The 14104-nt window shown below is 47.2% G+C and overlaps 1 pseudogene across 1 annotated transcript in view; it reads left to right on the top strand.

Moving 5' to 3' along the window:
- The window catches only part of GUSBP11 (GUSB pseudogene 11), a 78937-nt pseudogene that overhangs the window by 44873 nt on the left and 19960 nt on the right, over positions 1-14104 (top strand). Inside the window, exon 11 of the transcript NR_024448.2 lies at positions 12551-12686. The product of NR_024448.2 is annotated as a GUSB pseudogene 11 (transcript). The remainder of the gene's footprint in view (positions 1-12550; positions 12687-14104) is intronic.

The following is a 14104-nucleotide window of genomic DNA, read 5'->3' as shown; positions in this document are numbered from 1 at the left end:
CAGCATGCGAGGAGAAGCCTCCTTCGTTCTGTAGGCCCTACCTCTATTAACATGTCCTTTGATAAAGTGCCTCCCCTCCTGTCTCCCCTCTCTGGAATCCTCAGCTGCTGCCAGGCTTCGGCTGTGCCCCATCAAAGGCAGCTCTGTCTCCCTACTTTCCCCAGCCCAGGGTTTTCTTTTTGGGGTCAGCTGCGGGGGTCTGAGCCATCCTTTGCGCACTCAGACTTTCTTCCTGCCCACCTGCTGCTGTGAATCCTGCCTGTCTTATATGCTCTCAGGCAGAGAGGAAACTGCTGAGCAGGCCGGGGCAGGGGACAGAGCCCTGTGGCTCTCCACTTTAGACCCCTCATGGCTGACTGCCATGGAATGCAGCCACTTAGGAGGGCCAAATCCCCTGATGTTCCTGTTGGCTGTCTAGCCTTCAGGGACAGGTCATGGGGCCTTGGTTCCTGCCCTGTCATCTTCCCAGTCACCCTGATCTTCAGGGGGAGGAATAGCCAGGGTAAGGGCTTGGTCATAGCACCTCCACCCTAGGGCTATTGAGGATCTCACAGTTGTGTGTCTGGTGGGTTCTGTCCAGAGCCCATTTGAGAGCAGTGGATGACAGGACAGGTCTATGTGACCCAGGCAGGCAGCAATATTGGGTCAGCCTTCATGTCCCCTTCTGTCAGCTGGGGCAGCCTGGAAGGATGATTGTGGGGTAGGTGTTATGGGCACGGAATAGACCTCAGGTGGAGGCTGCAGGGGCTCTCCGGCACCGTAGACACAGCAGGCCCAGGAGCAGGGGAGGGAGCCATGACTCAGGGAGACTCTGGCCCATATCCTTGGCAGATGAGGGCCACAGGGGAATGGGCAGCACTGTCCAAAGTCCCCTGGGCTGGGTCCGCAGCTGTTCCTGGCTCAGACTTCTTGGTGGGCTGGTCAGAAACATGCAGTAACTTGGGGCAGTTACCAAGTGGCCAAGCCTGCACTGCTGGGCTGTGTGAGCTTGGGCCAGCTCAGGCCCTCTCTGGGCCCTGCCTTTCTGGGCTGTTCGGGTGGTTCCTTGGGCCTGGGGTGCTAATGTTTCTGGATGGGCAGCAGAACCAGTCTGCACTCAGGGCCCCAGGCCATGTTCCCGGAACACACCTTTAGCATTGACAGCAGCGTGTGGTGAGGCCCCTTAGGCTGGGTTCTGGTCTAGTGCCAGGGGCACCACTACTCCACCGCCTCCAGAGCCATCTCTGGGACACTGGCTGTGAGTTCAGATGTTCTGAACAGGGACAGGGAGAGCCAGAGAGAGACCCAGCCTGGGGCTCACTGGAGGGGCTCGTGGGCAGACAGCACCCTTTGGAAGGAACTGAGCCTGGGAAGTGGGAACCCTATTCCCCGGCTCACAACACCTCCCACCCGGGGCCCTCCCAGGGCTGCATGAAGTTTAGTCACCTGGTGACAGGCTGAGTTACTGTGCGGAGTCACTGTGTGCCTCCTTGCTGCTGTGACGTCAGCCTCCCCATCCTCCTTGCTAGGCTGGACCTCTGTGAGAGGCCTGCCTGTCCTGCACCCTGTGTAGATGCCTTGCACTGTCCCCCAGGGCTGCTGGGCACCCCCTGGCTGGCCTCTTGTCCCCTCTGGGACTAGGTAAGCTTATGGGTTCTCTGGCAGCTCCTGCTCCTTCCCTGCCTCTGCTCCTCCTTGGAGGCGCCCACTCCCAGGACTGGACAGCATGCACACGTTCTGGGAGGCGAGAAGGAGACACTGAACTTGTGTTTCTGAGGCCCGACTTTAGACTGTGCTCTGTTGGGGAGGTGCCAGGGAGTGTCTGAGGCTGGGTCTGACCCTGCTCCTTGCCCCGTGGATGCAGTAGAGTCATGAAGATGAAGTTAGTGGTGCTGGGTCTGCTGGCCGTGGTCCTGGTGCTGCTCATTGTTGGCCTCTGTCTCTGGCTGCCCTCGGCCTCCAAGGAACCTGACAACCATGTGTACACCAGGCCTGTTCAGCTGCGGGTGCCAAGCCCTGCTTGGAGATTGGGAGATGAGCAGGGCAGGGCATGGGGGCATGGGCCCTGGAAACCGGGCAAGTGGACCTCGGCAATACCTTAGCCCCTCTGAGACTCAGTTTCCCCACATGTAAGCAGGCTGCCTGGGCACGGGTGTCCCAGGTGCATAGAGCCACCTGTTCTTTGCTTGGACTGTCTCAGTAGCCTCTGGGTAGGGGACGGTGACCCCGAGAGCAGGGTGTGGGTCTCTAGAGCCCAACAGGGCCCTTTTCTCAGTTCTAAGAGTCTCTGTCTCTTTGAATAAACTGCACTGTTTTGTCGTTTGGTTGTTATTTTTACTTATTTCTCTTTTTATTTTTAGTTATTTATTTACTGTGAGATGGAGTCTCGCTCTTTCGCCCAGGCTGGAGTGCAGTGGCGCGATCTCAGCTCACTGCAACCTCCACCTCCCTGGTTCAAGTGATTCTTATGCCTCAGCCTCCCAAGTAGCTGGGATTACAGGCATGTAGCACCATGCACAGCTAATTTTTTTTTTCCCGAGACAGAGTCTCGCTCTGTCACCCAGGCTGGAGTGCAGTGGTGTGATCTCACCTCACTGCAGCCTCCACCTTCCAGGTTCAAGCGATTCTCCTGCCTCAGCCTCCTGAGTAGCTGGGATTACAGGCATGCGTCACCACACCCGCCTAATTTTTGTATTTTTAGTAGAGATGGGGTTTCACTATATTGACCAGGCTGGTCTTGAACTCCTGACCTCAGGTGATTCACCCGCCTTGGCCTCCCAAAGTGCTGGGATTACAGGCATGAGCCGCCATACCCAGCCAACTTTTATCTTTTTAGTAGAGACGGGGTTTCATCCTGTTGGCCAGGCTGGTCTTGAACTCCTGACCTTAATTGATCCACTTGCCTCAGCCTCCCAAAGTGCTGGGATTATAGGCATGAGCCACTGCACTTGGCCTTTAGTGGTGTTTTCTGAGATCTTGGTACACTCATCACCCAAGCAGTGTACACTGTACCTAGTGTGTAGTCTTTTATCCCTCATCCCCCTCCCCTTCTACTCTTCCCCTTGAGTACCCAGAGTCCATTATATCATTCTTTTTTTTTTTTTTTTTTTTTTTTTTTTGAGATGGAGTCTCACTCTGTTGCCTAGGCTGGAGTGCAATGGTGTGGTCTTGGCTCACTGCAACCTCCTCCACCTCCTGAGTTCAAGTGATTCTCCTGCCTCAGCCTTCCACCAGCTGGGATTACAGGCGCCCACCACCATGCTTGGCTAAATTGTTTTGGTATTATTAGTAAAGCCAGGGTTTCACCATGTTGGCCAGGCTGGTCTTGAACTCCTGACCTCAGGTGGTCTGCCTGCCTTGGCCTCCCAAAGTGCTGGGAGTACAGGCATGAGCCAGCATGCCGGACCCCGTTATATCATTCTTTTTTTTTTTCTTTTTTAATGTTATTATTATACTTTAAGTTTTAGGGTACATATGCACAACGTGCAGGTTTGTTACATATGTACACATGTGCCATGTTGGTGTGCTGCACCCATTAACTCATCATTTAGCATTAGATATATCTCCTAATGCTATCCCTCCCCGCTCCCCGCATCCCACAACAGTCCCTGGTGTGTGATGTTCCCCTTCCTGTGTCCATGTGTTCTTGTTGTTCATTTCCCACCTATGAGTGAGAACATGGTGGTGTTTGGTTTTTTGTCCTTGTGATAGTTTGCTGAGAATGATGGTTTCCAGCTTCATCCATGTCCCTACAAGGGACATGAACTCATCATTTTTTATGGCTGCATAGTATTCTATGGTGTATATGTGCCACATTTTCTTAATCCAGTCTATCATTGTTGGACATTTGGGTTGGTTCCAAGTCTTTGCTATTGTGAATAGTGCCGCAATAAACATACGTGTGCATGTGTCTTTATAGCAGCATGATTTATAATCCTTTGGGTATATACCCAGTAATGGAATGGCTGGGTCAAATGGTATTTCTAGTTCTAGATCCCTGAGGAATTGCCACACTGACTTCCACAATGGTTGAACTAGTTTACAGTCCCACCAACAGTGTAAAAGTGTTCCTATTTCTCCACATCCTCTCCAGCACCTGTTGTTTCCTGACTTTTTAATGATCGCCATTCTAACTGGTGTGAGATGGTATCTCATTGTGGTTTTGATTTGCATTTCTCTGATGGCCAGTGATGATGAGCATTTTTTCATGTGTCTTTTGGCTGCATAAATGTCTTCTTCTGAGAAGTGTCTGTTCATATCCTTTGCCCACTTTTTGATGGGATTGTTTGTTTTTTTCTTGTAAATTTGTTTGAGTTCATTGTAGATTCTGGATATTAGCCCTTTGTCAGATGAGTCGGTTGCAAAAATTTTCTCCCATTCTGTAGGTTGCCCGTTCACTGTGATGGTAGTTTCTTTCGCTGTGCAGAAGCTCTTTAGTTTAATTAGATCCCATATGTCAATTTTGGCTTTTGTTGCCATTGGTTTTGGTGTTTTAGACATGAAGTCCTTGCCCATGCCTATGTCCTGAGTGGTATTGCCTAGGTTTTCTTCTAGGGTTTTTATGGTTTAGGTCTAATATGTAAGTCTTTAATCCATCTTGAATTAATTTTTATATAAGGTGTAAGGAAGGGATCCAGTTTCAGCTTTCTACATATGGCTAGCCAGTTGTTCCAGCACCATTTATTAAATAGGGAATCCTTTCCCCATTGCTTGTTTTTGTCAGGTTTGTCAAAGATCAGATAGTTGTAGGTATGCGGCATTATTTCTGAGGGCTCTGGTCTGTTCCATTGGTCTATATCTCTGTTTTGGTACCAGTACCATGCTGTTTTGATTACTGTAGCCTTGTAGTATAGTTTGAAGTCAGGTAGCGTGATGCCTCTAGCTTTGTTCTTTTTGGTTAGGATTGACTTGGCAATGTGGGTTCTTTTTTGGTTCCATATGAACTTTAAAGTAGTTTTTTCCAATTCTGTGAAGAAAGTCATTGGTGGCTTGATGGGGATGGCATTGAATCTATAAATTACCTTGGGCAGTATGGCCATTTTCACGATATTGATTCTTCCTATCCATGAGCATGGAATGTTCCTCCATTTGTTTGTATCCTCTTTTATTTCATTGAGCAGTGGTTTGTAGTTCTCCTTGAAGAGGTCCTTCACATCCTTTGTAAGTTGGATTCCTAGGTATTTTATTCTCTTTGAAGCAATTGTGAATGGGAGTTCACTCGTGATTTGGCTCTCTGTTTGTCTGTTATTGGTGTATAAGAATGCTTGTGATTTTTGCACATTGATTTTGTATCCTGAGACTTTGCTGAAGTTGCTTATCAGCTTAAGGAGATTTTGGGCTGAGACGATGGGGTTTTCTAGATAAACAATCATGTCATCTGCAAACAGGGACAATTTGACTTCCTCTTTTCCTAATTGAATGCCCTTTATTTCCTTCTCCTGCCTGATTGCCCTGGCGAGAACTTCCAACACTATGTTGAATAGGAGTGGTGAGAGAGGGCATCCCTGTCTTGTGCCAGTTTTCAAAGGGAATGCTTCCAGTTTTTGTCCATTCACTGTGATATTGGCTGTGGGTTTGTCATAGATTGCTCTTATTATTTTGAGATATGTCCCATCAATACCTAATTTATTGAGAGTTTTTAGCATGAAGTGTTGTTGAATTTTGTCAAAGGCCTTTTCTGCATCTGTTGAGATAATCATGTGGTTTTTGTCTTTGGTTCTGTTTATATGCTGGATTACGTTTATTGATTTTCGTACGTTGAACCAGCCTTGCATCCCAGGGATGAAGCCCACTTGATCATGCTGGATAAGCTTTTTGATGTGCTGCTGGATTCGGTTAGCCAGTATTTTATTGAGGATTTTTGCATCAATGTTCATCAAGGATATTGGTCTAAAATTCTCTTTTTTTGTTGTGTCTCTGCCAGGCTTTGGTATCAGGATGATGCTGGCCTCATAAAATGAGTTAGGGAGGATTCCTTCTTTTTCTGTTGATTGGAATAGTTTCAGAAGGAATGGTACAAGCTCCTCCTTGTACCTCTGGTAGAATTCGGCTGTGAATCCATCTGGTCCTGGACTTTTTTTGGTTGGTAAGCTATTAATTATTGCCTCAATTTCAAAGCTTGTTATTGGTCTATTCAGAGATTCAACTTCTTCTTAGTTTAGTCTTGGGAGGGTGTATGTGCCTAGGGATTTATCCATTTCTTCTAGATTTTCTAGTTTTTTTTTGCGTAGAGGCATTTATAGTATTCTCTGATGGTAGTTTGTATTTCTGTGGGATCGGTGGTGATATCCCCTGTATCATTTTTTATTGCGTCTATTTGATTCTTCCCTGTTTTCTTCTTTATTAGTCTTGCTAGTGGTCTATCAATTTTGTTGATCTTTTCAAAAAACCAGCTCCTGGATTCATTGATTTTTTTTTGAAGGGTTTTTTGTGTCTCTATTTCCTTCAGTTCTGCTCTGATCTTAGTTATTTCTTGCCTTCTGCTAGCTTTTGAATCTGTTTGCTCTTGCTTCTCTAGTTCTTTTAATTGTGATGTTAGGGTGTCAATTTTAGATCTTTCCTGCTTTCTCTTGTGGGCATTTAGTGCTATAAATTTCCCTCTACACACTGCTTTGAACGTGTCCCAGAGATTCTGGTATGTTGTGTCCTTGTTCTCGTTGGTTTCAAAGAACATCTTTATTTCTGCCTTCATTTTGTTATGTACCCAGTAGTCATTCAAGAGCAGGTTGTTCAGTTTCCATGTAGTTGAGTGGTTTTGAGTGAGTTTCTTAATCCTGAGTTCTAGTTCGATTCACTGTGGTCTGAGAGACAGTTTGTTATAACTTCTGTTCTTTTACATTTGCTGAGGAGTGCTTTACTTCCAACTATGTGGTCAATTTTGGAGTAGGTGTGGTGTGGTGCTGAAAAGAATGTATAGTCTGTTGATTTGGGGTGGAGAATTCTGTAGATGTCTATTAGGTCCGCTTGGTGCAGAGCTGAGTTCAATTCCTGGATATCCTTGTTAACTTTCTGTCTCGTTGATCTGTCTAGTGTTGACAGTGGGGTGTTAAAGTCTCCCATTATTATTGTGTGGGAATCTAAGTCTCTTTGTAGGTCACTAAGGACTTGCTTTATGAATCTGGGTACTCCTGTATTGGGTGTATATATATTTAGGATAGTTAGCTCTTCTTGTTGAATTGATCCCTTTACCATTATGTAATGGCCTTCTTTGTCTCTTTTGATCTTTGTTCGTTTAAAGTCTGTTTTATCAGAGACTAGGATTGCAACCCCTGCCTTTTTTTGTTTTCCATTTGCTTGGTAGATCTTCCTCCATCCCTTTATTTTGAGCCTGTGTGTGTCTCTGCACGTGAGATGGGTTTCCTGAATACAGCACACTGATGGGTCCTGACTCTATCCAATTTGCCAGTCTGTGTCTTTTAATCGGAGCATTTAGTGCATTTACATTTAAGGTTAACATTGTTATGTGTGAATTTGATCCTGTCATTATGATGTTAGCTGGTTATTTTGCTCGCTAGTTGATGCACTTTCTTCCTAGCCTCGATGGTCTTTACAATTTGGCATGCTTTTGCAGTGGCTGGTACCAGTTGTTCCTTTCCATGTTTAGTGCTTCCTTCAGGAGCTCTTTTAGGGCAGGCCTGGTGGTGACAAAATCTTTCAGCATTTGCTTGTCTGTAAAGTATTTTATTTCTCCTTCACTTATGAAGCTTAGTTTGGCTGGATATGAAATTCTGGGTTGAAAATTCTTTCCTTTAAGAATGTTGAATATTGGCCCCCACTCTCTTCTGGCTTGTACGGTTTCTGCTGAGAGATCAGCTGTTAGTCTGACGGGCTTCCCTTTGTGGGTAACCCGACCTTTCTCTCTGGCTGCCCTTAACATTTTTTCCTTCATTTCAACTTTGGTGAATCTGACAATTATGTGTATTGGAGTTGCTCTTCTTGAGGAGTATCTTTGTGGCGTTCTCTGTATTTCCTGAATTTGAATGTTGGCCTGCCTTGCTACATTGGGGAAGTTCTCCTGGATAATATCCTGCAGAGTGTTTTCCAACTTGGTTCCATTCTCCCTGTCACTTTCAGGTACACCAATCAGACATAGATTTGGTCTTTTCACATAGTCCCATATTTCTTGGAGGCTTTGTTCCTTTCTTTTTATTCTTTTTTCTCTAAACTTCTCACTTCATTTCATTCATTTCATCTTCCATCACTGATACCTTTTCTTCCAGTAGATCGCATCGGCTACTGAGGCTTGTGCATTCGTCACGTAGTTCTTGTGCCGTGGTTTTCGGCTCCATCAGGTCCTTTAAGGACTTCTCTGCATTGGTTATTCTAGTTAGCCATTCGTCTAATTTTTTTTCAAGGTTTTTAACTTCTTTGCCATTGGTTCGAACTTCCTCCTTTAGCTCCGAGTAGTTTGATCTTCTGAAGCCTTCTTCTCTCAACTCGTCAAAGTCATTCTCTGTCCAGCTTTGTTCCATTGCTGGTGAGGAGCTGCATTCCTTTGGAGGAGGAGAGGCACTCTGATTTTTAGAGTTTCCAGTTTTTCTGCTCTGTTTTTTCCCCATCTTTGTGGTTTTATCTACCTTTGGTCTTTGATGATGGTGACGTACAGATGGGTTTTTGGCGTGGATGTCCTTTCTGTTTGTTAGTTTTCCTTCTAACAGTCAGGACCCTCAGCTGCAGGTCTGTTGGAGTTTGCTGGAGGTCCACTCCAGACCCTGTTTGCCTGGGTATCAGCAGCAGTCGCTGCAGAACAGCGGATATTGGTGAACCGCAAATGCTGCTGCCTGATCATTCTGCTGGAAGTTTTGTCTCAGAGGAGTACCCGGCTGTGTGAAGTGTCAGTCTGCCCCTACTGGGGGTGCCTCTCAGTTAGGCTACTCGGGGGTCACAGACCCACTTGAGGCAGTTTGCCCATCCTCAGATCTGAAGCTGCGTGCTGGAAGAACCACTACTCTCTTCAGAGCTGTCAGACAGGGACATTTAAGTCTGCAGAGGTTACTGCTGCCTTTTGTTTGTCTGTGCCCTGCCCCAAGAGGTGGAGCCTACAGAGGCAGGTAGGCCTCCTTGAGCTGTGGTGGGCCTCACCCAGTTCGAGCTTCCCGGCTGCTTTGTTTACCTACTCAAGCCTCAGCAATGGTGGGTGCCTCTCCCCCAGCCTCGCTGCCGCCTTGCAGTTTGATCTCAGACTGCTGTGCTAGCAATGAGCGAGGCTCCGTGGGCGTAGGACCCTCCGAGCCATGTGCGGGATATAATCTCCTGGTGTGCCGTTTGTTAAGCCCGTTGGAAAAGCACAGTATTGGGTGGGAGTGACCCGATTTTCCAGGTGCCGCCTGTCACCCCTTTCTTTGACTAAGAAAGGGAATTCCCTGACCGCTTGCACTTCCCAGGTGAGGCGATGCCTCGCCCTGCTTCAGCTCACGCACAGTGCGCTGCACCCACTGTCCTGCACCCACTGTCCTGCACCCACTGTCTGGCACTCCCCAGTGAGATGAACCCGGTACCTCAGTTGGAAATGCAGAAATCACTGTCTTCTGCGTCACTCATGCTGGGAGCTGTAGACTGGAGCTGTTCCTATTCGGCCATCTTGGCTCCCAGACCCTTTTTTTTTTTTTTTTTTGAGATAGAGTTTTGCTCTTGTCTTTCAGGCTGGAGTGGGGTGCAATGGTGCAGTCTTGGCTCACTGCAACCTCCACCTCCCAGTTCAAGAGGTTCTCCTGCTTCAGCCTCCCGAGTAGCTGGGACTACCATGCCTGGCTGATTTTTGTGTTATTGGTAGAGACGGGGTTTCACCATGTTCTCCAGACTGGTCTCAAACTCCTGACCTTAGGTGATCCACCCGCCTCAGCCTCCCAAAGTTCTGGGATTACAGGCATGAGCCACTGCGCCCGGCCCATTATATCATTCTTATGTGTTTGCTTCCTCATAGCTTAGCTTTGGTATATAACTGTTTTGGAATTATCATCCTTGGCTACTAGGATCAGTGATAAGGGTGACACTAGTCTGAGGCTGGACAGGCCACTCCTGGGCAGATGTCTTTGCAGAAGTATTTTTTGTGTAAGGTTGTGATGGCCTTTGTGTAATGTTGTGAGTTGTGTTTTTGAGGTAGGGTCTTGCTCTATCACCTGGGCTGGAGTGCAGTTGCACTGTCAAGGCTCACTGTAGCCTCAGCCTCCTGGACTGAAGCAATCCTCTTACCTCAATCCTCTCACCTCAGCCTCCCAAAGTGCTGGGATTACAGGCATGAGCCACCACACCCAGCCGAGAATGGGGCACTTGTGCACGAGAGTCCTCTCTTCATGGCCTTTCCCTGGCTCTATTTTTCAGAGTTGTTTTTTGTTGTTTTGTTTTGTTTTGTTTTGAGATGGAGTCTTGCTCTGTTGCACAGGCTGGAGTGCAGTGGCGGAATCTCGGCTCACTGCAACCTCCGCCTCCTGGGTTCAAGCAATTCTCCCGCCTCAGCCTCCCCAGTAGCTGGGATTACAGGCACCCGCCATCATGCCCAGATAACTTTTGTATTTTTGTAGAGATGGGGTTTCACCATGTTAGTCAGGCTGGTCTCGAACTCCTGACCTCAGGTGATCCACCCACCTCGGCCTCCCAAAGTGCTGGGACTACAGGTGTGAGCCACTGTGTGTGGCCGCAGCTCTATTTTGACAATTTTCACAGTCTCTTCCCACTTCCTGTGGCTGCCAGCATTCATTGGCTTGTGGCTGCCTCACTCCAGTCTCTGTCTCCATGGTCATACTGGTTTCTCCTCTGCTGTGTGTCCTCTCCTCTGTGTGTCTGTCTTACAAGGACACTGTGGTCACATTCAGGGCACATCTAGATAATCCAGGATCATCTCCTCCTCTCAAAATCTTTAACATACTTTAGGCCGGGTGCGGTGGCTCATGCCTGTAATCCCAGCACTTTGGGAGGCTAAGGAGGGTGGATCACTTGAGGTCAGGAGTTGGAGACCAGCCTGGCCAACACAGTAAAACACCATCTCTACTAAAAATACAAAAATTAACTGGGCATGGTGGCGCATGCCTGTATCCTAGCTACTCAGGAGGCTGAGGCAGGAGAATCGCTTCAACCTGGGAGGTGGAGATTGCAGTGAGCCGAGATTGTGCCACACACTCCGGCCTGGGTGATAGAGCAAGACTCACTCTCAAAAAAAAAAAAAAAAAAATGCAAAAAAGGCCGGGCAGGGTAGCTCACACCTGTGATCCCAGCACTTTGGGAGGCCAAGGCAGGCAGATCACTTGAGGCCAGGAATTCGAGGCTAGCCTGAACAACACGGTGAAACCTCATCCCTACTAAAAGTACAAAAAAAATTAGCTGGGCATGGTGGCGAACACCTGTAGTCTCAGGAGACTGAGGCACAAGAATCACTGGAACCTGGGAGGCGGAGGTTGCAGTGAGCTCAGACCACGCCATTGCACTCCAGCCTGGGCAACAGAGTGAGACTCTGTCTCAAAAAAAAAAAAAAAATCTTTAACATACTTTTCCACTTAAGGTATTAGTCACTCTTGTGTTGTATAAGGTAATATCCACAGGTTTTGGGAATTAGGTTTTATCCAGAGGTTTTGGGACCATGTGGCTATTGAGGTCTTGACATATGACTAGGATAACTTTATTTAGTTTAATTAAAAAAAAATTTTTTTTTGAGACAGCCTCACTGTGTTGCCCAGGCTGGAGTGCAGTGGCGTTATCACAGCTCACTGCTCAACCTCCTGGGCTCAAACGATCCTCCCTCCTCAGCCCCGCAAGTAGCTGGAACCGCAGGCATGTGCCACCACACGTGGCTAATATTTAGACTTTTTGTAGAGACTGGGTCTCACTGGTTGTCTAGGGTGGTCTTGAACTTCTGGGCTCAAGTGATCCTCCTGCCTCGACCTCCCAAAGTGCTGGGATTGCAGACCTGAGCTGCCATGCCCAGCCTGGTTTAATTTAATTTTACATACATACATTTATTTATTTATTTAAGATAGGGTCTCACTCTGTCACCCAGGCTGGAGTGCCGTGGTGGAAACACAGCTCGCTGCAGCTTCGACCTCCAGGGCTCAAGCAGTCCTCCCACCTCAGCCTCCCAAGTAGCTGGGAGCACAGTTGTGTTCCACCATGCTTGGCTAATTTTTGTACTTTTTGTAGAGATGGGGTCTTGCTATGTTTCCCAGGCTGGTCTTGAACTCCTAGGCTCAAGCAGTCCTCCCACTTCAGTTTCCCAAAGTGCTGGGATGACAGGCATGAGCCAGTGCACCTGGCCCAAAGTCATATTTTTACTTCTAACGTAGTTCAGCCTTAAGACTGTACCAGCAGATAGAGACGGAAAAGTAAGAAAAAGTGAATATCAGATTACATTTATAAATAAAGCAGTTACTAATTAATATGTTGTTTTTTTAAACCTCCTTTTTAACTCTGGGTTACATCATTCCCTGGCTGTCTTTACCCTAGCATCAGTGAGTCCTGCAGTCACTATAGCCCCCTGCGAGGACAGATATTTTGGTCACCATCAAGTGGATCTTTATTTTTTATCTAACATTTACAATTCTGCCAGTTCTGACTCTTAAATTCTCTTTGCCTTGAATCCCAGGATCCACCTCTGATGTTCAGTGAAGACTACCAGAAAAGTCTGCTAGAGCAGTACCATCTGGGTCTGGATCAAAAACTCAGAAAATACGTGGTTGGAGAGCTCATCTGGAATTTTGCCGATTTCATGACTAACCAGTGTAAGCGGCAGTTTGGCTCATAGGATAATGTACCCGTCCTCATTTTTTCAGGTTGCCTTGCCCATTCTGGACACTTTGATTGTAAGAATATTGGAAACAAAGCGAGGAGCTGGTTTAATCCATGCAGGTTGCGTTGAGGATTTCCTAGGAAAAGTGAGTTGTGCTTAGTAAGTAGGAAAGCAGTCAGGCCCCTGCTTCCCAAATACAGTCAAAAAGCAAACAGGAGAGTCTGCTATAGTGAGATGTAAATGGCTAGCTTGCCTTTTTCTTGTCTATTTCATAGCCAAGGAGGAAGGAAAAACTGGACCTCATGGATTTACTTTAGGAAGGTACAAAGCCTGAGAAGCTTAAGGTATTTCAGTCTGTTTTATATTACTCACTTGCAAAAAGCAGGCTCATCGAATACAGGTGAGTTTCAACACATCTTGAATATGGCAGCATTTAAAAGTCTTTAGACTGGGCATGGTGACTCATGCCTGTAATCCCAGCACTTTGGGAGGCCAAGGTGGGAGGATCATTTGAGGCCAGGAGTTCGAGACCAGTCTGCTAAGCATAGCAAGACCCCTTCTCTACAAAAAGTAAGCAAATTAGCTAGGTGTGGTGGTGTGTTCCTGTAGTTCCAGCTGCTTGGGTGGCTGAGGCAGGCAGATCGCCTGAGCACAGGAGTTGGGGGCTGCAGTGAGCTATGATTACACCACTGCACTTGAGCCAGGGTGACAGAGTGAGACCTGTCTTAAAAAAAAAAAAAAGGGGGTCTTCAAAGACAAGAACATCTGTGCTGTCACGTTGGGTGGATGAGGGGCTGCCAGGTTTGCAATGAATGTTTCCCATTTCTTCTTAGTTTATGGACTTACCATAAACTCAGGATGGCAGTTTGGTGGGTTGGAGAAGGATATGGTGATTGCGGGAGTTACAAGACATTACTTATAGGGGAAAACAGGGTTTTGAAAGGTTAACGCTTAAAAGTGAGAATGGAAAAGGGATGAATGAATGAACAAGATGAGGTGAGATGGAAGAGGTAAAGGGAAAAGGAGAACAAGCAGCTCTTCTCTGCGTGGCGCCTGGGATGAATGGTTTCTGGGGACATCCCTGATGGCAGTTTTGTGGAGAGGCGCAAAACTTTATGTGGTAAGAAATGAGCTGTAGGCCCAGCGCAGTGACCCACGCCTGTAATCCCAGAACTTTGGGAGGCCGAGGAGGGCGGATCACTTGAGGTCAGGAGTTCAAGACCAGCCTGGCCAACATGGAGAAACCTTGTCTCTACTAAAAGTACAAAAATTAGGCAGGCGTGGTGGCAAGTGCCTGTAATCCCAGTTACTCGGAAGGCTAAGGCATGAGAATCGCTTGAACCCGGGAGGTGGAGGTTGCGGTGAGGGAAGATCGCACCTTTGCACTCCAGCCTGGGCAACAAGAGCAAA

Source organism: Homo sapiens, chromosome 22 (genome assembly GCF_000001405.40).
Source record: "Homo sapiens chromosome 22, GRCh38.p14 Primary Assembly".
Taxonomy (NCBI): domain Eukaryota; kingdom Metazoa; phylum Chordata; class Mammalia; order Primates; family Hominidae; genus Homo; species Homo sapiens.
This window is presented reverse-complemented; position numbering and strand designations above follow the sequence as displayed.